Source organism: Homo sapiens, chromosome 5 (genome assembly GCF_000001405.40).
Source record: "Homo sapiens chromosome 5, GRCh38.p14 Primary Assembly".
NCBI lineage: Eukaryota > Metazoa > Chordata > Mammalia > Primates > Hominidae > Homo > Homo sapiens.
The window spans coordinates 41,770,741-41,794,855 of record NC_000005.10 but is presented as its reverse complement, the minus strand read 5'-3'; the positions used below and the strand labels follow the sequence as shown (position 1 = coordinate 41,794,855).

The window sequence follows — 24,115 nt, the reverse complement described above, 5'->3', positions numbered from 1 at the left end:
GGAGCTTAAGTTCTTTTGGGAATGGAGAAGATGTGGACCTCTGTTCACCATGATACTCTTAGAAATCTAATAGCCTTTTCTTTCTTTTGTGTGTGTGTGTGTTTAGGCAAGGAAACAGTTACTATTCTTCCAGGAGCCTCTTTTTTCTCCAGCGATGAATCATTTGCAATGATTAGAGGGTATGTAATAACAGAGCCCCTCATGTTTCAGACAGTATGGAATGAGCTGAGTCATCGTCTGAGTGTGTTAGCAAGGCTCTGAAACACAGCCACATTTCCCAGCCAGAAAACTATCAGGAGTTTGTTCGGCTGCAGGGTGTGAAATTATTCACATCGAATGTTGGGCATTGAATATCCAGCCCACTGTTAGGAAAAGAACCCCCAAAATGGAATCCATGCCTTTGTGCCAACCATACTGAAATAAACATTTCTAAGGTGCTTTCTGAGGATTCTAACATTTTCTTCAAACTGTGTTCACTTTCTAGCTAGTGTTTGTGTTCAAGTAGTCACATTCTGCCTCACTGAAGGAAACAGTCTTCCTGTGTACACCTGTTCATAGTTTGTTATTGAAACAATGTATACTGTAACTTTTTTTTCAAAAAGAATTTTTAGTGATTATTTCTCTGTCAGCATGGAGCTGATCTATTAGGAAATCAGTTGTGTGGTGGGGGAAGCAAGTATATTTTGGTGGTATGAAGTTATTCTAATTGCTGGCAAGTTCAAGCAAAGGGGACAAAAGCTTATGAGGTTCACTTTATTCTTCCTCTTTCTTTCTCAGTGGACACGTCGATCTGACAATGCTAGGAGCGATGCAGGTTTCCAAATATGGTGACCTGGCTAACTGGATGATACCTGTAAGTAGACATTTTTTATTCTGAATTATGTTTGGATCAGAATAATTATATTTTAAATACTAAGAAAAAGGGCCATGAGATCACGATTCTTTAAAAATGAAATATTTTAATATATATTTCTTACTAGAATCAAATTTTAATTAAGTAAGCACTGAGAAGTATTCAGCTTTGCCAATTTACTGTGCATTTGGGACTAAAAGTAGGCAAGGTCAGAGCCGAAACCTCTTGCTTAGAAGAAACCAAGTTAGAGAAGACTTAAAAAACAGAAAAAGGGCTAATTATACTCTGAAAATAAGAAATACAAATATTTACCATAACTAAAATTTTAAACTAGGAAGAACAATTAACAAGTTTGTTAGCGTTGTTAATTAACTTTGCTAATTGTTAATTCTATTAATCAGTGATTGAAATCATCTTGATTGGTCATGTGACCCCATAAATAATCATTGTCCTCTGCTATGGAATTCAAAACCTGTGAGAGTTTAATATCCTTGTGAAATGCACAGTTGTCATTTAATATGAAATGCACAGTTGTCATTTAATAGTGACCTAAATCAAGGAAGAAACCTCTTAGAATTAGCTTTGGAAAGAGGACTGTTATCACTGACTTAATTCATGAGTGTAGTTCATTATAGACCAGGATGTTGCTTCCCAAGTACGTGCATGGAAACAATAATGGGTATGTTTATGATTATGAGCTCATTTTGGCTGGTAGCCCGGTTGCTCTTTGTGTGTGTGTTTAAGGATTTCCATATGTTTCTCTATAGAACAAGCTAAGAAGAATCTTGTCAAATAACTGAGGCTGGTGGTCTATGATAGGACAGTTTTCTTGAAATCTCTTAAATTTGTTTTCTAATAATTTTTTGAGGAAGGTGGATTAATGTAGTTGATAACAATGTTAGAGATCATGTTAGTCTAGCTCATTTGATCTAGAGATCATGTTAGTCTAGCTCATTTGATCTAATGCCACCTGAAATGTTATGTTTAAGTTTTAATAATTATTCAAGCCCTAGTTTTCAAACTTGGTGGTGTATTAGAATACCTCAGAGTTTTAAGAAATTTTGATGCCTGGGTTCCAGCCCAGGTAGTCTCTAATTTAATTAATCTGGGATGTAGCCTGGACACTGGGTCATTCAAAGCAACTCAGGTGGTTCTGATATGTGACCAGGTTTGAGAACCAGCATATTAAAGATTGATTACAACTCACTTCATTTTAAAATGTAAGAGAAAAACATCATTGAGCCATCATAATAAGAACCCTTAGCAAATTGTGGATTATATTGTTAGTTTAGTTGTAAAAATACTGATCTTTCAGAATCAGCCATAGTTACAAGGGTTAGCAGCTTTTGATTGCTTCAAAAAAATCAGGGAGGGTCTCCTGAGCATCGTACAGTGAGTCAGATAGAAAGTTTGTGGAAATACTTGTGTAGGATATTACAATGTATTTCTGTTTTCAAATTTTAGAAAAGGGCCATACGGGGTAGTAGAGTGACTATAGGAAAGCAAGCCCTGGGTTTTAGCACTGACTCTACCAGTAATCAAGGTGTGATGTTGAACATTTCACTTATGCTCTTTGGGTTAAAATGCCCTCATCTATAAAGTGAGGGTTTGAGAACAGATAATTTTAGGGGTCTCATTTGGTTCTCTTAGCTTAGTAGGTAAGAGCAAGGCCCTGTAGTGAGATAGTTGTGGATTAAAGTCTTATTTCTGACGCTTGCTGGCAGTGTAACTTGAGCTAATTTCCTATTTTTCCTCATCTGTAAAAATGGGAATCATATAACAGTACCTACTTTATAGGACTATATGAAGGAATACATGTGACAATGCATACAAAGTACATAGCACAGAGCTTGACACTTAGTACCTGGTAAATAGGTTATTGTTCTTATAAGAAGTTGCGGGCCGGACGCAGTGGCTCACGCCTGTAATCCCAGCACTTTGGGAGGCCGAGGCGGGTGGATCACGAGGTCAGGAGATTGAGACCATCCTGGCTAACATGGTGAAACCTCGTCTCTGCTAAAAAATACAAAAAATTAGCCGGGCGTGGTGGCATGCGCTTGAGTCCCAGCTACTCGAGAGGCTGAGGCAGGAGAATGGCGTGCACCCGGGAGGCGGAGCTTGCAGTGAGCAGAGATCGCGCCACTGCACTCCAGCCTGTGGGCGAAAGAGCGAGACTCCGTCTCATAAAAAAAAAAATAAATAAATAAAATAAAAAAGAAGTTGCGGATACCTGGCAAAGAAGAGAAAAGCATTGGGTCCTATGAACAAAAGCAATAGGGTTTTAAATACATCTATTTCTCTAGACTAATGATTTTTGAAATCAATTTGCTCAGTGGTCCTGGGTATGAAGCAGAAATGTGTTAAATATCTTCTTCCCTTCGGGGAACATGGGCATCTTCATATCAGTATAAGATTTGTTTATATTATGATTTAGCATGTAGTAAGGCTGGAAGCTCTCATAGTGGTAGTGTACACTATGTAGTTATTTGTAGGAAAGCTTTTCCAATGCGTACCATATTTTTACATATCCTGTTAAGATTCCTGTGAATGATTAAAATACAAATGTTTATTACTTTATACTTTTCTCAATATAACTTGGAGCCCACGAGTTCCCAAAGGAATGGACCTAGTGGGATGAACAACTCTGGAGTTCTGTAGGAACATCATGGAAGTCTAGTTGAGAAAAATTAAGCATAAGAAGTGTTCCTGGGTTTGGTTCCACTGTTTTGGTAATGGAAGTTGGTAGTGTTACTTCTGATTAGCATTTTTTTTGTTGCTTTCATAACTGATAATCATTTCCTAACTTCTTTGTATGTGATGCACCATGTATATTTTCATTGTTTGAGACTCAGGGCAGCTTCAGAATCAAGTCCATGAGGTTTAGTTTGGTTTTAATTTCAGCCCTACCCCTTACAAATTATGTGATCTGAAGCACATGTTTTGGCTAGGATTAAGTGAGAAGAAAATGAAAAGTGAACACTGCAAGCACTCTCTAAATAGTGGCTATTAAGTAATGCTCTATTACTTAAAATTAAAGAGGAAATATTTACCTTAAAATACACTGGTAAAAGCGAGATGATTTTACAGGAGCCAGTACAACCTGCTTATCCTAAGTCCCTATTCAAGCACCAAAATTAAGCCCTTTGAGGACACATTTTTTTTCTTTTATTGGTTATGGATAAAGATACAGCTTACCTTCCTTATGTAATTTCAGTAAGCAATCTATTTTTATTTGTCCCAAAGATTTGTTGACTTATGTAATTTAAATATGTTTTTATTGCAAGATCTGGCAGTCAAGAAGCTGAAAAATTCAGCTTTATTATATTATTTTTCATTTACTTTTATCTTTTTCCTGAGTTTAATAATCTTTCAATGGCTGTGTAAGCCATGAGTTCTCAGCATCATGACATTATCATCAATCATTATAGCATCAGATTACAATAAACATTAAGCCTTCAGGGCAAGCAAACGGTGTGGATGCTATTTGTCTTACCGTTTAATAGCTTCTTAGTATGCAGTGTTGGTCTCATGTACACAGATTTTTAACAATTCTACCCTGAGCATCCAAAGGAGGAAAACTTGACAAAACAGTAGTTGGCTCCTTCAAGCTCGCTGCTGATTGTGATGATGGTAAAACCCCAGGCAAGCGAATAAATGATGGAAAGATGTGCAGTCCGCTGAATCTATATTCAGAGCTGCTCTAGTGCTTTCTGAATGCCTATTTTTGGAGAACAGCTGGCATTGATTATTGACTTATGAAGGGAAGCAGATGTGTATGGTCAGCTATGAGAGCTGGTTATTGAAAGCACAAAATAGCAGCCCACTGGACAGGGCTGCAGTACGTGAGTGGCACAAGAGCCAAGAGCCCTCCTCTATGTGGAGAGGATTGAATGAGGCATTCTTATGGCAAGAAAGAATGGGACACTTTTGGTGTTTTTTTATTTTTTTCCTTTTCTCCCTCACATTTTTCACATCTTTGTGCATTTGAAAAGAATAAATACTAATTAATGTCATACTCCTGTGTGCTACATGTCTGAGCACATAAAATTGATTGGGTTCTCTAGACATGCTACCTGTTTTAAATAAGTTAAGTCACTAGTATTCCTGGTTATAAAACTACAAGGGGGTTTGTGTTGAAGATTCAGTCTGTTTAGTTGCATCAATTGTAATCCAAATGTTAGTCCAAAATATAGATATTTAAATATATTATGACATAGGTGAGGAAATAAGCATAAATCTCTAGACATTGTTTTAACTTTAGTGTATTGTCCATTTGGTCCTGAGGCTCAGGAAAAGAAAAACAGGTGGAAAATCCATATGAGGTCATATGAAACTTTTACAATTAGTAATGCCTTTGTCTTATTAGTGTAATGTAGTGGAAAGCTCATAAAACTTTGGAATTAGACAGACTTGAGCTTAAATACTGGTTCTTTACTTATTGATCATGTAGTATATCACTGTTGTAGTATATTCATTGGTAAAATGACAATTTTTAACTCATGCTTGTTCTGAGGATTAAATTCGCTAATTCATTCAACATGTATTGATCTGGCATATATTAAGGGTCAGGCACTGTTAAATATAAACGACAACGTTTTTGGGGATGCAGTAGTTAACAAAACAGACAAAATTCTCTGCATTTATGGAGCTGATATTCTAACAGGGGTCAGCAAACTGTGTTGCATGTACCAAATCTGGCCCACTGCCTATTTTTGTAAATTTTTCTTGGAGCATAGCCATATCCACTCATTTACGTATTGTTTATGGCTGCTTTAAATAGTTAGGATAGAAACTGTGTGGCTTGCAAAGCCTAAAATATTTACCGTTTGGCCCTTTACAGAAAAGATTTGCCAACTTCTGCCTTAGATCACTGATTTGAAACCTTTTTTCTCTAATATAAGCAAGTAACATCCTACAAATTTTTATGTTGTTTCAGTCTCTTCAAAATACTTTCTAATCTTCCTTGTTATTTTTTGTATGACCCATTGTTTATTTAAAGGTGTGTCAGTTTCCAAATATTTGGTAATTTTCCACATAACTTTTTAAAAATTTTTCAGTTTAATTCTTTTGAGGTCAGAAAACACACTTTATAGTTTCAGTCCTTTTAAATTTGAGACTTGCTTATGGCCCAGAATGTAGGCTATTTTAGTGACTGTTCCATTTGCACTTGAATATATATTCTGCTCTTGTTGGGTACAGTGTTCTGTAAGTGCCAATTGGATCAAATGGGCAGTTAGTATTGTTCAAGTGTTCTGTGTCTTGTCAATTACTGAGAGAGCAGTCTTGAGATCTTCAGCTATAATTGTGGATTTGTCTGTTTTTCCTTTCAGTTATACCACTTTTTCCTTTATCTGTTTTAGAGCTGTTACTACTTGCATTTATACACATTTAAGCTTACATTCTCTTAATGAATTGATCTGTCATTTTGTCTCTTCAATAATATTCCTTTTATTGAAGTCTACTGTCTGATGCTGATATAGTCACTCTTCAAAGTATGTTTCTCCATTCTTCTGCCTGTAACCTATGAACACCTTTATTTTTAAGTAGGTTTTTGTAATCATATAGTTAGATTGTTATCTTATAATCTCTAAATCATAATTGGAGGTTTAGACCATTTACAATTAATGTAGTCATCAATATGGTTGGGTTTAAATCTATCAGGATATTTTTTTTTCTGTTTACTTCATCTGTCCTTTTTGCCCTTTGATTTCTTTGGGATCAATTACGTATTTTTTGAGTATTTTATCTTCACTGTTGGATTACTTTTTAGTGGCTTCTCTAGGGTCTACCATATACATATTTTAATCACAATCTACTTCAAGTAATATATCACTTTATATATAATGTAAGAATTATACAATAGTAAACTTCTGTTTTCTGCCTTATTGTGTGTTCTTTAGTGATAGTTAATTCTGCATGTGACATAAACCTTATACTTCGCTATTATTTTTGCTCTAAACACTCGACTATCTTTTTAAGTAATCTTTGAAAATGAGGAAAAATCTTTTATATTTTTCCAACATATTTTCTGTTTGTTGCACTTTTTCTGTGCAGAGATCTAGATTGCCATTTGATGTTTTTTTCCTTCTGCTTGAAGGACATCCTTTGATGTTTGTTGTAGCACAAATTCTATAGATGTCTCTCAGGTTGATCTTTTTCAATATTTGCTTTTAAGCTGTGTTAAGATTAGTTGAGAGTAGCCTTTAGTTGCAGTTTAATTTATAGCCCCACTACTGAGAAAGTTTTCTTCGGAGGACTCTGCCTGATGCTCCATATATTACAAAATCTTTCCTCACTGTTTGGTAGGATTGTGAATTGTTCCTAGACCTGTGTTAGTTTTGGGCTTTTTTTTTTTTTTTTTTTTTTTTGCCTAATGCTTGCTTAATGGTTCTTTTTCAGGCTTTGACTAATTTCTTCTCATATATGCACATATTCATACTCTGCTAAAGACTTGAGACCTTCTTCCTCTGCAAATCTGAGCTCTCACTCTGTATAATGACCTCCTTTCTGGTATTTTCAGATCTCAAATTGTAGTTGCCTCAGGCTCTCTGAAGCCAACAAAATTGCTGAGTTTGACTTCCTGTACTGCAGCTTGCAAATTCTCTCCAGGCAGTAAGCTGGGGGAAATTGTAGACCTATCTTGTTGGCTTCCCTTCTTTCAGAAATGGTAGTCCCGTACTGTGTGTGGTCTAATGTCCGAAAGCCACTTTTTCATGTCAGTTTGATTTTTCTAACTGTTTAATATCATTAATAACATGTTTGAATTTATGTCATTGTGTATTTACTGATGGTTTTCTTAGTACAAATCCCTAGAAATAGAATATCTTTGTCAGTATTTTAGGGATTTTGATATATCACAGAGTTACTGGCCAGAAAAATTATCCCAGTTTACTCTCACACTGTTTCTACTCTATTACCAACACTGGTATCAGCTTTTTAAAAGCTATATTATTTTCTTGCGTTATTTGGCATTTCTTTATAAAGCTGCTCTCTGGGATTGTTTAAGGGGCAGCCGTACCTTACTCTTCAGGAGGGCATTTAATCATTTTCTCTCTTGTTTTGGAGACCTTCCTTTTGGCTTCTAGCAATTATCTCTCTTCAAATTCCAGTGTTGCTCTCTTTAGTTATATTAAAAAACAACATTGATAATGAGTATTCTGTGTTAGTGAATGTATCTTAGGAGATCCACTGTAACAAGCATGTATGTGAATGTGTGTGCATTTCTTCTGTTTACAATATTTTGAACAAGCTCTAAATGTGGGATAGAATAAAATACAGCTATTTTTATCTCCTGTGGTACTCTTTAACCTATTCTGTTAGGGAAGCTTTTCCTCTGCTGTTAATGAATACTCAGGCTGCATGACATTTCAGCTCACTCTAGGAAAATAAACAGCTCTTAAGTGACTTTAATTCATAAACTCAGTCTTCATTCAGACATTAGAGGGTCCATTCCAAAACAGTGAAAAATGCTTTAATAATCATTCAAAAGCAATGCATCTCCTCATTTTTGATCTCCCAGCTACAGTCTGCCTGCATTTGAAGAAGGTTATATAGTATGCTTTTGCTTTTTCTCTACTCCCCTCCTCTTCCAGCTCACTGTTTGGCACCCACCAGGATCAAAATTCAAGAGAAAGGGAAGGCAAGGAAATAGGGCAGGAAAGATTTTACATAGCAGGAGACTGGTAATCCTGTTTGCTGGCTCCATGATCTCTGGTCCATAAAAATATTTAAAGCTGATCCCTTCCTCTCTCTGTGTGTGTGGAGTGGGGTGAGCAGTTGTCTTTAGAGACCCCCTTCTTGGTTCCTCCTGCAGCGGCTGCTCCTATGGGTGATGGCTGGATGCTTCCCCAGCAGCTTCTGACTTTCCTGCGGTCCACTTAACATATAGACTCTTACCGGTGGAGTCCCTCTTCCTGGGCTATCCTGTTGACAAAGCATTAACCTGTTGAGGTTGTTCCTCTCTCACATGGCCCCCATCTGGGAAGCACTCACATTTCTTCTACTGCCTCCAGTGATAGTGTAGTTACTTCCGCAAAACAGCCCCTTTAATTTTCTCAGGTAAGAGTCAGGCAGCACTCCCTATCTGCACTCCCCATCTTTCAGGCTCTGATTTGTCAATGGAGTGAGCAGCAGGCATACCCTTACCCCTTCCTTGGTTGCTGAGAAATGTAGGGGTAGTTAGAATACTTTTCATGAAATAAATCCTTCATACAAAACCTTTGCTATTCCTATACTGTATTCCTTCAGCCTGCTGAGGGTCCCAAGAGCCTTGGGATGTGCTTTTGACTATTTCCTTTGTAAATTCTACTTCTGAGCATCTATCCTACATGCTGGTATCCCCTAGCTCTTCTATCAGTTAAAAGTGAGACAGCAAGATCTCATCTAACATCTGGTTACCAACCACTTTTGCTCATGAGCCTGCCTTTTTTTGTTGCCATTAATCCTCCCTATTTATCATATTTAATTCTGCACGTGATATAAATCTTATAATACTTTGCTATTATTTTTGCTCTAAACAGTCAACTGTCTTTTAAGTAATCTTTAAAAATGAGGAAAAAAACTCTTCAATATTTTTCCAGCATATTTGCCAATTCAAGCTCATATTCAGCTAAGCCTTGGTGCATATAAGGGTGTTTTCCAACTATGGTTCTAATACCTCTAGGCAGTTCCCCCTAGCCTGTTCTGTTTTCCACAGAGGACTGTGGAAGAACCCAGCCAAACCCTGTTTGTCCTAACAGGGAATAAAAATACTGACCCATTGGGATGGACCTTTACTTCCTGTGCTGTTTGGAAAATGCATTTAATGCCTTCAGAATTTCCAGGAGCAAAATATTATTTCCTCTTATACAGTGATTTAACAAATGGGCATGCATTTTTTTTAGAAAGGCAACTTTTTATTAGTGATTCACCAATTTAGGATGTTATTAGAAACATAAGCTATTTATTATACTTTTCTTGGGTGCTATATTTGGTTATTCAAAAATACTTTTATCTATGACTATCTGGAAAACATGTTGAAAACTAATGTTTAGTTTCCTTATTTACACCCAATATTTTTCAGACTAAAGGTATATTTAGAGACTGACATATTTGACATATTCATTTTGTCAGGAAAATTTCTCTTACTTGAAAGATCCTGTCAATGATTAAAAACTGTGATTAAGGTTTAAAAGCCACAGCTAAATTCTAAATCTATTTTTTACAAGGAGGGAACTAACAATTATTAAGCACATGTCACTGGCCAGGTTCTGAATATTTATTGCCATTTTATCCTCACAGAACACTGAGTTAAATACAAATATTCCTGTTATTATAGATGAAGAGATTCAGGCCAAGGGAGTTAACTATTCAAGTTCACATCTGTGGCAAGTGATGAAAAGAGAAGTGGAATTACAGTCTTCTTTGCTCTTATGTGCTTCACATTCTGCCACAGGTACTTTTGGGGATATTTAACTGCCTTTCAGAATGGAAGCAAAACAACCTGCAAAATACATAAAAATCTGTATAGCATTCTGTAAGCCTTATGAAGAAATGATTGTCGGATAAAGCCTGTTGTGGTTTGAAGGATATATGTTGAGTACATATGACTCTTATTCATGGTGGGATTTTTTTGTAGGTGGACCATTTGCATGTTTGTTCTTCTGCATCCCGTTTTCTTTAAGCTTTCACCCAAATTCTAAAGTCTCCACTGCCCAGTCACTTATAATTAGCCTAAATGTCATATATGAAGTACTTTATCCATTTTATTTACCCATTTTGTTTTTTATAATCTACCAATCAAAGAATTCTTTGGAAAATTTCAGGCCCTCTACAAAGAATGTTTATAAAATTATCTTGCAATACTTGTTAAATGGGAAACACTGAAGCACAATTGGAGAAATATCAGAATTATTGCAAAGGGAGGAATACTGAAGATAATTTTTAAAAAGATTAAGATCCGAAAGGAACAAAAGCAAATTCATTAGCAAGCCATCTCACCCAGCCTAGGCCCTCACACATGTTAACCTTTGACAGAAGCAAAAGGATATGAGAATGTGAAAGAGTTTCTCCATCTTCAACAGTCTTACAGAGATTTTGCCTTTTGATTGCTACCTGAGTCTTTTTTAGGAGGAAAGAAAATATTTCTCTCCTTGCTGTGCTTCATATGATATATTTTGAACAACTGCTTACCTCTAAGACTTTGACTGTTCACTGGAACTTGGGTATGTTCAACACAGAGACTGAAAGAAAGGTGAGCTAGATACCTGATTCCAAACCATGCTGCTACACTGCCTACCAGACACTCTTGTAAGAATTTAATCAAATATTCTCCATCTCCTCTGGTGTTGAAAGGCAGACTTCTTTGCATAGAGTGGGATTTTGGTCATCTTTGAATCAGTCGATCTCTGTCTCTCTCATGAACAATGAATGAGTTTGATATTTGTTATAAATATCCTTTTGGCTAATGATGCATTTGTATGACTGCAGCAGGCTCTTCTCATTAAACAGCTCACTTAAAAGGAGAAGAAGAAACATTAAAAATGATAGATGAGGCTTCCTAGAAACCCATTATTAATAATATGATAAATCATAGTGTTGCTGATATGACTTAGCAGGGAATGAAACCAAAGGGCTAATGATTACTGCTGGTGACCCTGCAGCTAAAGGCTAATGAATCTTGAAGACTAAATTTTATTAAATGACTGAATTTCACATTCCCAGTTGGCGAAATCTTTCTCTATTCTTTTGGTTTAGAGATCATCTTGATCAACACTTTTGAGAAAATCTTTAAATTAACTCTCTATAAAAATAGAATAGTAAATGCATACATCCAGCTTAGACAGTTATCCACTTATGGTCAGTCTTGTTTCATCTGTACTCAACTTCCCTTTTCCTCAGATTATTTTGAAGCAAATGCTGCACATATTCTATCCATAAACATTTCGGCATTATCTGAAAGATTATTTTCAAATTTCTTTATAAAAGGATTCTTTTCATAAACTGCAATTCTGTTATCCCACCTAACAGTAAGGAATTAAGGATATAATTCTTTAATATCATTCAGCTATAAGCACCCTAATGTTAATTGCAGAAAACCTGAATCAGGAGAAATGAAGTGACTCAGCTCAGGCTGCAAAACTCTAATTAGTAGCTAAGCCAATATTAGGACCTATCTCTTCTGTCTGTAGTTTTGTAGGGATGCTCTTTCCACTACACAGGGGAAAGTTTACCTTTGAAAAACATCCCAATACAAAGAACCTTCCATGTTTCTTTCAAATATGCTTAGAAGTGGCTGTATCCAAAAACTATCATCAGGATGAACAGAAAACCTACAGAATGTGAGAAAATATTTGCAATCTATCCATCTGAAAAATGACTAATATCCAGAGTCTGGAAGGAACTTAAGCATATTTACAAAAAAAAACTAACCCCATTAAAAAGTGGGCAAAGGACATGAACAGATACTTCTCAAAAGAAGACATACATGGGCCAAGAAATAGGAAAAAAAGCTCCTGGGGCAGTGGCTCATGCCTGTAATCCCAGCACTTTGGGGGGCTAAGGCAGGCGGATTACTTCAGGTCAGGAGTTCAAGACCAGCCTGGCCAACACAGTGAAACCCGATCTTTACAAAAATACAAAAATTTGCTAGGCATGGTGGCATGCACCTGTAATCTCAGCTTCTTGGAAGGCTGAGGCAGGAGAATCACTTGAACCCAGGAGGTGGAGGTTGCACTGAGCTGAGGTCACACCACTGCACTCCAGCCTGGGCAGCAGAGCAAGACTCCATTTAAAAAAAAAAAAAAGCTCAACATCACTGATCATTAGAGAAATGCAAATCAAAACCAGAATGAGATACCATCTCACTCCAGTCACAATGACTATTACTAAAAATTAAAAAAAAAAAAAAAGATGCTGGCAAGATTGTGGAGAAAAAGGAACACTTTTACACTGTTGGTGGGAGTGTAAATTAATTCAACCATTTTGGAAGACAGTGTGGCAATTCCTCAAAGACCTAGAGGCAGAAATACCATTTGACTCAGCAATCCCATTGCTGGGTATATACCCATGGGAACATAAATCATTCTGTTATAAAGAAACGTGTGTGTTATGTTCATTACTGCACTGTTCACAATAGTAAAGACATGGAATCAACCTAAATACCCACCAATTATAGACTGAATAAAGAAAATGTGGCACATATATACCATGCTATACTATGCAGCCATATAAAGAAACGAGATCATGTTCTTTGCAGGGACCTGGATTGAGTCAGAAGCCATTATCCTCAGCAAACTAACGCAGGAACAGAAAACCAAACACTGCATATTCTCACTTGTAAGTGGGAGCTGAACGATGAAAACACATGGACACCACTGGGGGAACAACACATACAGAGGGCCTGTTGGGGTATGGGGGGAGCGAGAGTATCAGGAAGAATAGCTGATGGATGCTGGGCTTAATACCTAGGTGATGGGATGATCTATGTGGCAAAACACCATGGCACACATTTACCTATGTAACAAACCTGCATATCCTGCACATGTACCCTGCTACTTAAAATAAAAGTTGAAGGGAAAAAAAAAAAAGCAGCAGCTGTGTCCCTGCGGTCACTTTATCTTTCTAGACCTCAGCTTCTTATTTGTAAAATGTGATCCATGGCATAGCTTTTATTCAACAAAATTAAGATTTTGTTTTCTTTTTGTATTAGGTGTTGTATTAACAATGAAGGGTAGAGTGGTAAGCAAACCCAATACAGTCCTTTCCTGTACAGAGAATGTTTTTATATCTATGATGAGGTTAATAAGATATGGGAGACAGTAAGCCGGCCTTGGTGGCTCACACCTGTAATCCCAGCACTTTGGGAGGCCGAGATGGGCAGATCACGAGGTCAGGAGATCAAGACCATCCTGGCTAACATGGTGAAACCCCGTCTCTACTAAAAAAATACAAAATCAGCTGGGCGTGGTGGTGGGTGCCTTTAGTCCCAGCTACTTGGGAGGCTGAGGCAGGAGAATGGCGTGACCCCAGGAGGCAGAGCTTGCAGTGAGCCAAGATCGCGCCACTGCCCTGCAGCCTAGGTGACAGAGCGAGACTCCGTCTCAAAAAAAAAAAAAAATGTGGGAGACAGTACTATAAGGTCAGTGCAGTACACGAAACATGAAATATTTTGGTTTGGGAAGAATTAAATGAGTTTGCATTAGTTAAGTCATCCTGTCCAGGAACATGGTATAGTTTACTCTCCAGGTCTCATTTTACCTCCATTACATTTGTTACATTATTTTATAGTTCTTGTCAATATTTTGAGCTGAATAGTCAATTTCAGTTTCCAAATGTCTATTGCTAATATAAAGGAAAACTGTTGATTTCTATATTTCTTATACCTATTCATTTTACTAAATTTTCTTATCAGCTATAATAATTTTAAAAAAATTCTTAGACACTCTACACAATTCTCTTATCTGAAAATATTTTGAATTTAATCATTAAAACAATGTAAATAGTAGTGATTGAGGAACTTGATTTTGATGAATTAGAGTTTTAACTTAATATTATGTTTGCTGTTTGTGCTTCTAGTAAATGTCCTTTATACTGTTCTAACAGTTTGCCTTTACTCCTTTGCTTATAGTTTTTAAACTGAATGGCAGTTGAATGTAGTCAGTATGTTTCCATCTGTTTAATCACAGTTCTTCACCCTGAATTTATCAATGTCATTATTTAAATTGATGTTGAATCAGTTTTTTAATACAAATAGTCAATTTTTAACAATTTTTAAGTTATTCTCGTGCCTTTTCATCTCAAATTTTCTCACTTCTTGTGGCAATTTTGTTAATTTGCATTTTCCAAAAAGCATCCATTTCTTTTGGATTTTCAAATTCATTCACCCAAAACATGTCATATTCTTGTATACCTTTAATTTCCTCAGACTGTTATTATATCTTCTCTTTATCCTAATGCTGTAGATGTTCAGACTTACTAATTTTCTTTACTTTTACTCACTTTTTAATGTTACACTAGTTCTACATTTGTAAATTCAAATGTTTACTTTATTTGCAGTCCTTATTATAAAATCATTTAAGGCTCTGTGTTTTTCTGAATATAATTTTAATTGCATGTCATAATCTTTGAGAAAGTTCTTATTTTCATTAATTTCTGGGTAGCTTGTAATTTCAGTTTTGATTTCTTTTTTGGCCCAGTAATTTTTCATAAGTGTTTTTTCTTCAAATTTTAAAGGCTTGGAGGAGTTACTCTTTACATTGCTTTTTGGAATTTATTGGGTTTTCTTGGTGGCCAGGTAACTTGATTTTTTTTTCTAAACTTTACATGAAAATAAGATAATTTTATGTAAGATTGAGCTTGTTAGTTATTGTATTCGGATCTTTTACTTTCTTTGTGTGTTAGTTCTTGGAGACAGTGTGGTTTGTAGAAAGTGAGTAAGCATAGAATTTTAAAGACCTGAATTCTAGTTTTAGCTTTGTTACTAACAAATTGTGACCTTATACAGATTACTTTCTCTCTGTTGGTCTAATACAGTATGGTCCAGAAAACTCACTGTGATGATGGAGACATTCTATATGTGCTTGTACAGTATGGGAGCCATTAGCCACATGTGGCTTTTGAGTACTTGAAATGTGGCTAGTATAACTGGCAAACTCAATTTCTAATTTTGTTTAATTCAGATTTATATAGCCACATGTGGCTAGTCTAACTTATCAGACAGTGCATATATGATCTCTGAAATCAAGTTCTTGGATTCAATAAATCCCTAACAGAACCCAAAGCTAAAATTTAACCTCTAAGCTGTGGATTTACACATTTCTAAAGATGCTACTATGTAATGGGGAATTTTGAATACTTAGAAAAAAATCGATATTTGAGAGGTGGTAAAACTTCAACATTTTTCTACCTGGTTCAGGCTTCTAACACGTATAAGACCTAGAAATAATCTACATTTAATAATTTAGCCTATAGTGATCTTAAAGGCTTTGAAATGTGGAGAGTTATTTTAATGAGGATTTGCTTCTGAAAGTCAATGCTATGGTGAAAATCACATTCCAATATTGCTTCTGAGTATATTTTACTTCCTTGTCAAAAGTTGCAAAACACATAAAATCTAACATATGTTCTTCTCCCAAAGGGCGTTGGATCAAAAAAGAAAGACAAATTATAACTTATCTAGAAACTAATAAAAACTAAGAACTTTGTGTCAAAGCTTGAGGAATACAATTAAATTTATACTCAGAATAAAAAGAGAACCTTAAGTGCTTTTATTACTTGCAGAAATGATACATTGACCGCTTCTAGCTTGTGTGCATTCCTTACCTGTCTAATGCATGTGGTGGGGCATTGTTGAAGAACTTGCAGCACTCGATCATACTAGCAGCTGAGATGGGTATCAGCATTGGAACAGATGATCATGGTTATTGTTAAGGTCCAGATAGAGCAGTTGGCTTTTATTTGGGGGTCATATGACATGTGACATATATCCTTAAACCCTAGAGTCATCTTGATAAATTCACATTATGAAAGCAATATGGGATTGGGACTGAGTGAACATGCGTTTTCCATCTCCAGACCTCTTCTCTCTAAACTGAATGCCAGGCAAAATCATCAGTATTTTACATTTACCGTTCTCTCTCCCCTCTTAACCAGTGTAGTGGAATTATTTTAAGTAAAACGCAGAGTTTTTAACTTTGTTTCCAGTCAATTCAACACTACCCATATTACTATTTGATAGCTCTAGTAGATCATTGGAGTATTTGTACTAATACTTGATTTATAGAAAATTTTTAGATAATAAGATATTCCATCTGTAACTTTTTTACATTATCCAAATTTAGCTATGTAAGTACCAATTTCTAAATATAGTTATGAATAGAAAATTAGATAATCCATCTTTTTACATTTGTGCATAATTAAAGTAAATAGCTTCTGCATGAAGGCCTGACACAGACTCCTCATAAGCTTTGACTCAAGTACATGTTTTAGCCATTCACTATCTGTTTGGCATATTTCTGGATTATGATTGTAGCCTAGGACAGATCTAAATAACCAGACCCTGAAAAATTAATCCACAAATATTACAAAAATGGCTGTATTAAAAGGCAAAATTTTTCTTTTTTACTGCCATAACTTCATGAAAACAAACTTATTAACACTTAGAAACTTTATCTGCTAACATAATTCCATCCTGAATGTAACTTCTGCTTACAATCATGTAGTTTTTAGGAAACTTAATTTTTATAAATCATGGCTTTCAGTTTGGCAAAAGATGAATGGTTTATTTAGAAGCACATTGGAAAGCTTTGTAACTTTAGTCCTGAAAGATCTGACTGTATTTTTAGAAATTGTACATAGGACATCTCTAGGCTTGCTGTGTGCTTCTTAACAAAATTAATTAACACCATCCAACAGATTAGGAACAATAAGAAAGAAAAATAGTGCAATAAGTTCAACATAATGGACATTTTAAAATAGGAAGCATCTTTTATGGGGATTCGATTACCTCTTTCTGGAGGCTGGGGAAAAGACTTCAGCCAGTTTTTTTTCTGACTTGTTCTGTGACTTCAGGTGATGTATTTAGCTTTTCTTCATTGAACGGTTTTTTTTAAGACAGAGTCTCACTTTGTCGCCCAGGCTGGAGTGCAGTGGCACGATCTCGGCTCACTGCAACCTCCACCTCTCGGGTTCAAGCAATTCTTCTGCCTCAGCCTCCTAAGTAGCTGGCATTACAGGCATATGCCACCATGCCCGGCTAATAATTGTATTTTTAGTAGGGACGGGGTTTGACCATGTTGGTCAGGCTGGTCTCGAACTCCTGACCTCATGATCCACCCACCTCACCCTCCCAAAGTGCTGGGATTACAGGCATAAGCCACCGCACCCGGCCCCTTTTTTGTAAAGGAGAGCTTGTTACACATTCTACAAGCACATTTTAGGTGATGAGGACTATCTTTATATAATTGAGTTGATTAAAATATGTTCAGTATGAACAAAGTAGATCATAACAAGAAAAATAAGAATATTAAAAAATAGAAATGGTACATCATTTGTCATAGAACAGAGGTCCAGTCTGTATTTCCAATTTTCTCACACTGGTAACAATATGGTCAAAGAACATCGTTTTATAAAGTTCTAATGATGTGTATGATTTTTTTTTCCAAAGCTCTATCAGAATCTAAGATGTCTAGCAGCAAGATAGGCTTATCAACATAATGAATTGGATAGTAAAGTTTTTTCCATTGGGAATAAAAACAAAAATCCCACACATGCCGTTCTTAGATTTATCTTATTTATTCAGAGACTAACTCATGACTTTGTTATGCTAGCATACTCTGTTCTGGTAAATGTTGGATTCTGCAAAGAAATAAAGTTCAGTTACTACAAGAAAGTAAATCATTGTTGAACAAAGCACAGATTCATTTGACTTTCTCAAATTCACTTGTTTTCTGAGTCAGATTTTGCAAAGCCGTTTAGCAACAGGCTTAAAGAGTTACTAGGATTGCTCCTTACTGAGGGAAATCTGAGAACCATTTTGTTTTCATTTTGATGAAAAACAAAAAAACACAGGAACAGGCCACATACTGAGTTTTTTAAATAAATTTTTTGTTGTAAAAATTAAAATTAGTTTAGATTCACAGAAAAGCTACAGAGATAGTACAGAGTTTCCATATTCCCCCCACCCAGTTTTCCAAGATCCAGTTCAGGGTACTGCATTGCTTTTAGTTGTCATAGCTCCCTAGCCTTCTCTGATCTGTGCCAGTTTCTCAGTCTTTCCTTGTTTTTCGTAACTTTGTCAGTCTTGAAGTATTAACTGGATGTCATATAGAATGTCCCCCAATCTGGATTTGTCTGATGTTTTTCTCATAATTAGATGTGGGTTATGGGTTTTTAGAAAGAATATCATAGAAGTAGAGTGCCCTTCTTATATCAGGGGTTATAGGATACCTACATTGCATCCCTCATGATGATAATCTTTATCACTTGGTGAAGGTAGTGCTTACCAGGTTTGCTCACTATATAAAATTACTAGTTTTTCCCTTCCCTACTTCGTTCTCTGTGGAAGCAATTTAGTACCTAGTCCACCCTCAAAGATCTGGAGGGGGATTAAGCTCTACCTCTTGGAGGGAAACTGTGATAAGGAATATATTTTGTCTTTGATCCCCAGTTCCTGACACTGAGCTTCTAAAATGTTTGGAATTTCCTGAGCGATAGGGCCATAGGAGCATTTTGTTATTCATAATAAGCCCCTTTCAACCATACCTGAATTTACGCTAATGTGACTCTCAGTGGGCCCTTAAGTAGCTTCAATATGGAGCTGTTTGCCAGACAGACCAAGACATGATTAGAGGGTTGGAAAGTTCAGCCCCACACACAATCTCTAGGAAGGAGAGAGGGTCTGGAGATTGAGTTCAGTCACCAATGGCCAATGACTTAATCATGCCTATGTAATGAAATGTCCATAAAAACCCCTGAACGACAGGATTCTAAGTGCTTCTGGGTTGCTGAACACATCAGGGCTCTGGGAGAGTGGCATACCTGCATACAGCATGGAAGCTCTGTGCTCCTGCCCTCAAACCTTGCCCTATACATCTCTTCCATTGGGCCATTCCTTAGTTGTATCCTTCATAATAAACCAATAATAGCAAGTAAAATGCCTTCCTGAATCCTATGAGCTGTTATAGCAAATTATTGAAGCTGAGCGGGGGTTGTAGAAACCTCTTGACTTTATAGCTGGTTCGTCAGAGGTACTGGTGGCCTGGACTTGCTATCAGGGTTTGAAATGGGGAGCAGTTTTGTAAGACTGAATCCTTAACTTGTGGGTCCTGTGCTAATTCCAGGTAGTTAGGGTCAGAAGTGAGTTGAATTGTTGGGCACTCAGCTGGTTACAGAATTGGGTGGTGTAAGGAAAAACCCCACATATTTGATGTCAGAAGTGTTGAGTATAAACAGTTGAAGAAGTATTATGTATTTTGCAATTCTTCTGGAGAGAAGATTTGTCTCTTCTCTCCCATTTATTTAATCATATGTTTATATCAATATGTTCTCAAGTATGTTTTATATTTTGGTTGTAATACAATACCATGTTTATGTTATTTATTTATTCACTTATTTATTTATTTTATTTTTTGAGACAGAGTTTCACTCTGTCACCCAGGCTGGAGTGCAGTGGCGTGATCTTGGCTCACTGCAACCTCCACCTCCTGGGTTCAAACGATTCTCCTGCCTCAGCCTCCCTAGTAGCCTGGGCTACAGGTGCATGCCGCCACGCCCGGCTAATTTTTTGTATTTTGAGTAGAGATGGGGTTTTACCGTGTTAGCCAGGATGCTCTCGATCTCCTGACCTCGTGATCCACCTGCCTCCACTTCCCAGAGTGCTGGGATTACAGGCATGAGCCACTGTGCCTGGCCCTGTGTTTATTTTTATGCTCACATTGTTCCAGCCATAGCCATTGGGAGCTCTTTCAGGTTTGCTGGTCTACCCCTTTGTTGTCCTTCCATTCTTTTTGTTTTTCATTGAGCACTTCCTTACTTTCTGCTACTACAAGATGCTCATCTTATATTTCTTGTGCCCCTAGAGTCAACTTTTTCTTCAAAAGCTAATTCTCTAATAAGAGAACGACATATAGAAAACCAAGATCTGGGTGCTAGGTGTGCTTGTTGCTACTGGGCTATCATTGCTTCTAGCCCTTCTCAATGGACAGAGCTATGTAATATATGCACACATATTAACCCATGCTCATGCAGTTTTAAATAATAAACAACTTTCCATTTTAGACCATTTTCCTAAGGATAGAGGAAAAAAGTAACTCCTTACTGAATAACGGTCTCAAGGTGGTATCAACAGAATGTGTTTTCTTCCAAATACCAGACCTAGAAAATGGCATTCTTAGGATTAAAAATAGTGACATTTTAGCAATTACACCTCACCACCAAGTATTTTGCCACACTTGAGTTCCAGATGAATGTGACTGAGGTCATATCTGTCATATAGCTATATAGTAATGTTGTAAAAGGAATAAAGTCCTCTCACTTACTGTAACTCCTGCTTCTCATCTGAGAATGTACTAGCTTTAACATGTACCTTAACTTAGGTCCCTATAAAATGAAATGGAAGTAACTAGGGTTTTTATTCACAGGGATTTTAAAACACTGTTTTTTCACACATTTAACATTCATATCTGATATTATGAATGGTCAACGTTACTGAAACCATCAAGATCAGAAATTTAAAAGGTCTCCTATGAAATTCAGGGAGTTGAAACATTGGCCTATCAAGAAATGAGTTAAAGTTTGTATATTCCTATATATGCTTTTTACCTCTTCTGATCTTTCTTTGTATTTCACTTTGAAAACAATTTTCTATTCTATTCTCAGTTTTTCATTTTTTTTTGGCAGAGGGGTGGGGGTGGGCGGGTTGCGAAGGGATAAGGTCTCACTCTGTAGCCCAGGCTGGAGTGCGTTGGTTGGTGCAGTCATGACTCAGTGCAGCCTTGACCTCCTGGGCTCAGGTGATCCTCCCACTTCAGCCTCCCAAGTAGCTCATACTACAGGTGCATGCAACCACACCCAGCTAATTAATTTTTTTTTCTTTTTTCTTTTTTTTTTTTTTCGTAGAGACAGGGTTTTACCATGTTGCCCAGGCTAGTCTTGAACTCCTGGGCTTCAGTGATCTGCCTGCCTTGGCCTCCCAAATTGCTGAGATTGCAGGCTTGAGCCACCATGCCCAGCTGTTCTCAATAGTTTGATTTCTGCACTACCAAGTTCTTCACCAAAGCTTTTGTTTCACTATTACTTTGCTCTAAAGACACATCACTTTTTTTCCCCCATCTTATAGATTGCCTGGCACTGTTGACTTAAAAAGATAAGGTAGAAATTAATGCTCTTTGAATCTCCTGTTATATCTTTCAAAAATATTAACTTTGTGGCAAATCGCCCAAAGTCGTTCTTTTAACTGGTTTTGGTGTTGAAAGGAGAAACTGTGTTTTTCCTGCCTGTGATGATAGGACCCTCCCAGAGTGACATTGTGCTTCAGCATTCTCTGTTGCCTCCAGAGATGGGTCATTCTCACAAGGAGGATGTGCTTTTCCCTTTTGGGACTCAGACCTGAGACTCATTCCATGCACTGAGTCTGTGTGGAATGATGTTACCTAGGAGGCCCATGGTTCTCCTTGTCCTGAGAGTAGGGTGTGCATTCTTAGCAAACCGGTGGTTAGACTTGCCTCCACATATGAAAAGCACTGGGTTCCTATTTCACAGAGTAAGGCTTGCACAGGAGAACAAATTAAGACTCCAACACAGAGTTATCAATTTGCTGTGAATGTCATAGCTATTAATTCCCAGTAGGTACTTAAGCAGTCATTAAACGGGGTCATCAACTGAATCCAGAGGACATCTTGAGATAAACAGTAGTTATTAATTTAATGTAGAATCAAAATACTTTGTATTCTTCCACCCAGTCCTATAATACTTGCTTAATAGGGCACGTACATTTATTATACATAGCATGATCTTTTGCAATTGCTCTTAACTGCTTTTTTTTTAACCTTTAAAATTTATCTTCTGTGTTACTTTCTGATCCTTTCTATTGTGGAAAAAAACACTGGTAATGATTTCAATTTATTAATGTTCTTTCAGTCACTCTCTCTCTCTTTTTTTTTTTGTTTTTTTTAATCTCATCCACCTGTCAGTGATGGCGGTGTAATTACATTAAGTCTAATTGTGCTCTTAGAGCTTTGCAGACAGTGGGAGGAGGTGATGGAGCAAGTATGTGCTGCCCATGGTTCTAGTTCTCATTCCCTCCCCCTTCTCCCCAACCAACCCACATCCTCTTTGAGGAATCAGAAAATAAACTTTCTGAGAACAAGTATTTCCTGATGACAAAATAAATAGTAATAATTCCATATTCCATGTGAACGAGTTGTTGAGGAGATTAATATATTTTAGTACATGCAGACACATAAATGATGTTTTTCCATTTGTATTTTAGTTTCCTATTTTGTAATGACTATTGGAGACCTCCTAAAAGTATAAACCTTTAAAAAATTATGTGATAGTAATTGTGACCATTTAAACCTCACCATTAGAACATAGGTTGAACCAACCATATGAAATTCCTGTATTTGCAGGTCATACATGCTCCTATGTGAGCAATTTCATATGATTCTAATGCATTTCTCTCAGCGATTCAGTGGAAGGAAGAAAATAACTTATCCCTGGATTTTTAAATATGTAATTTATTCTGTTTCTGGGTAGTATACAGGCCCAGAAGCTCCAGTGCTTAGCTATATTCAATAAACTCAAATAACTTAGAGTACCTTTTTATTTATCCTGAAACACTTGGTCATGCTCTTTCCATCAATGCCTTCTGTAAGAGGCCTGATAAAACAAGCTGAATTCACTTAGCCATATTGTCTGATGTTTGTTTTCATCTCTGTAGTATTATGAATAGACTCTATGAAAACTGCAACTGCAGCTTCAGAACAGAGCTAGGAGTACGTTTTTCTCTTGCTGTCCATTTTCAAAATCTAACAAATAGATCAGAGTGTTAGTCTATGTGACCTTATACAAAGAGCTTAACCAATCCAAAGTGCCTTAATAACAACAAAAAAAACTTTGTCACACATTGATTGTACCTTGAGAAGAGAAAATACATTGGTTTCATAGTTCTAACTGTTCACTTAATAAATACTTATTAATTTCTTATACAGAGATGGAGTTAATTACCTTGTATAATTAATGACAATTTTGTATGCATTGGAATTTTTTCTTGGAGCAATGAGGTTTCATAAGTGAACTATGGAGACCCTCTTGAATGGTATTTACATTTTACAAAATGAGAGAAATTGGTGTAATTAATAGCTAGGAACAGAACTCATTTTTCTTATTTGAAGTTAATTGATTTCTTTAAGAATCAAACCTATTACATTTGTGACATTTTCTAACCTGCATAAAGTGGTTTGTCTGGACTATCTTACAATAGATGAATGAAGACTCTGATCATGGTAATAAAGTGAGTTTCACTTACATTTTTGTTTGTTCAGGTTCATTTGCAATAGACAATGTGTTAGAGAAACTTGATGTGGTTTTGGTATAGTTTCTGGTATGAACTAGTATAGATAGTTTCTGTAAAGTAATTTTTTATTTTCAAATATTCTGCCTGGAGTCAGAAAATAGCACATTTATCAAATCTAATGTATACAATTATCATAAAATCATTTTGAATTGATACACATCAGTGGTTCTGTTAGTTATATTTATTATAGTGGAATTTATAAAAATGGA

At 36.4% G+C, this 24,115-nt stretch overlaps 1 protein-coding gene across 7 annotated transcripts in view, besides 2 other annotated features; it reads left to right on the top strand.

Annotated features, from left to right (window-relative positions):
* The window catches only part of OXCT1 (3-oxoacid CoA-transferase 1), a 140,361-nt gene that overhangs the window by 75,570 nt on the left and 40,676 nt on the right, over nt 1–24,115 (top strand). For 6 of the 7 annotated variants that reach the window (NM_001364301.2, NM_001364302.2, NM_000436.4 and 3 more), the window contains 2 exons: nt 107–179; nt 778–853. In NM_001364301.2, coding sequence (NP_001351230.1) covers nt 107–179; nt 778–853 — 149 coding nt within the window. The remainder of the gene's footprint in view (nt 1–106; nt 180–777; nt 854–24,115) is intronic. The other variant, NR_157114.2, reaches the window with a different exon arrangement.
* Nucleotides 55–349: an enhancer, noted in NCBI's record as "tiled region #14195; K562 Activating DNase unmatched - State 15:Elon". NCBI's record gives its function as "activates a minimal TATA promoter and a strong SV40 promoter by Sharpr-MPRA in K562 cells {active_cell/tissue: K562}" and the evidence as "EXISTENCE:reporter gene assay evidence [ECO:0000049][PMID:27701403]".
* Nucleotides 18,886–19,426: an enhancer, noted in NCBI's record as "OCT4-NANOG hESC enhancer chr5:41775532-41776072 (GRCh37/hg19 assembly coordinates)". NCBI's record gives its function as "activates a minimal SCP1, AML or CMV promoter by ChIP-STARR-seq in naive H9 embryonic stem cells {active_cell/tissue: H9 hESC(naive)}" and the evidence as "EXISTENCE:reporter gene assay evidence [ECO:0000049][PMID:30033119]".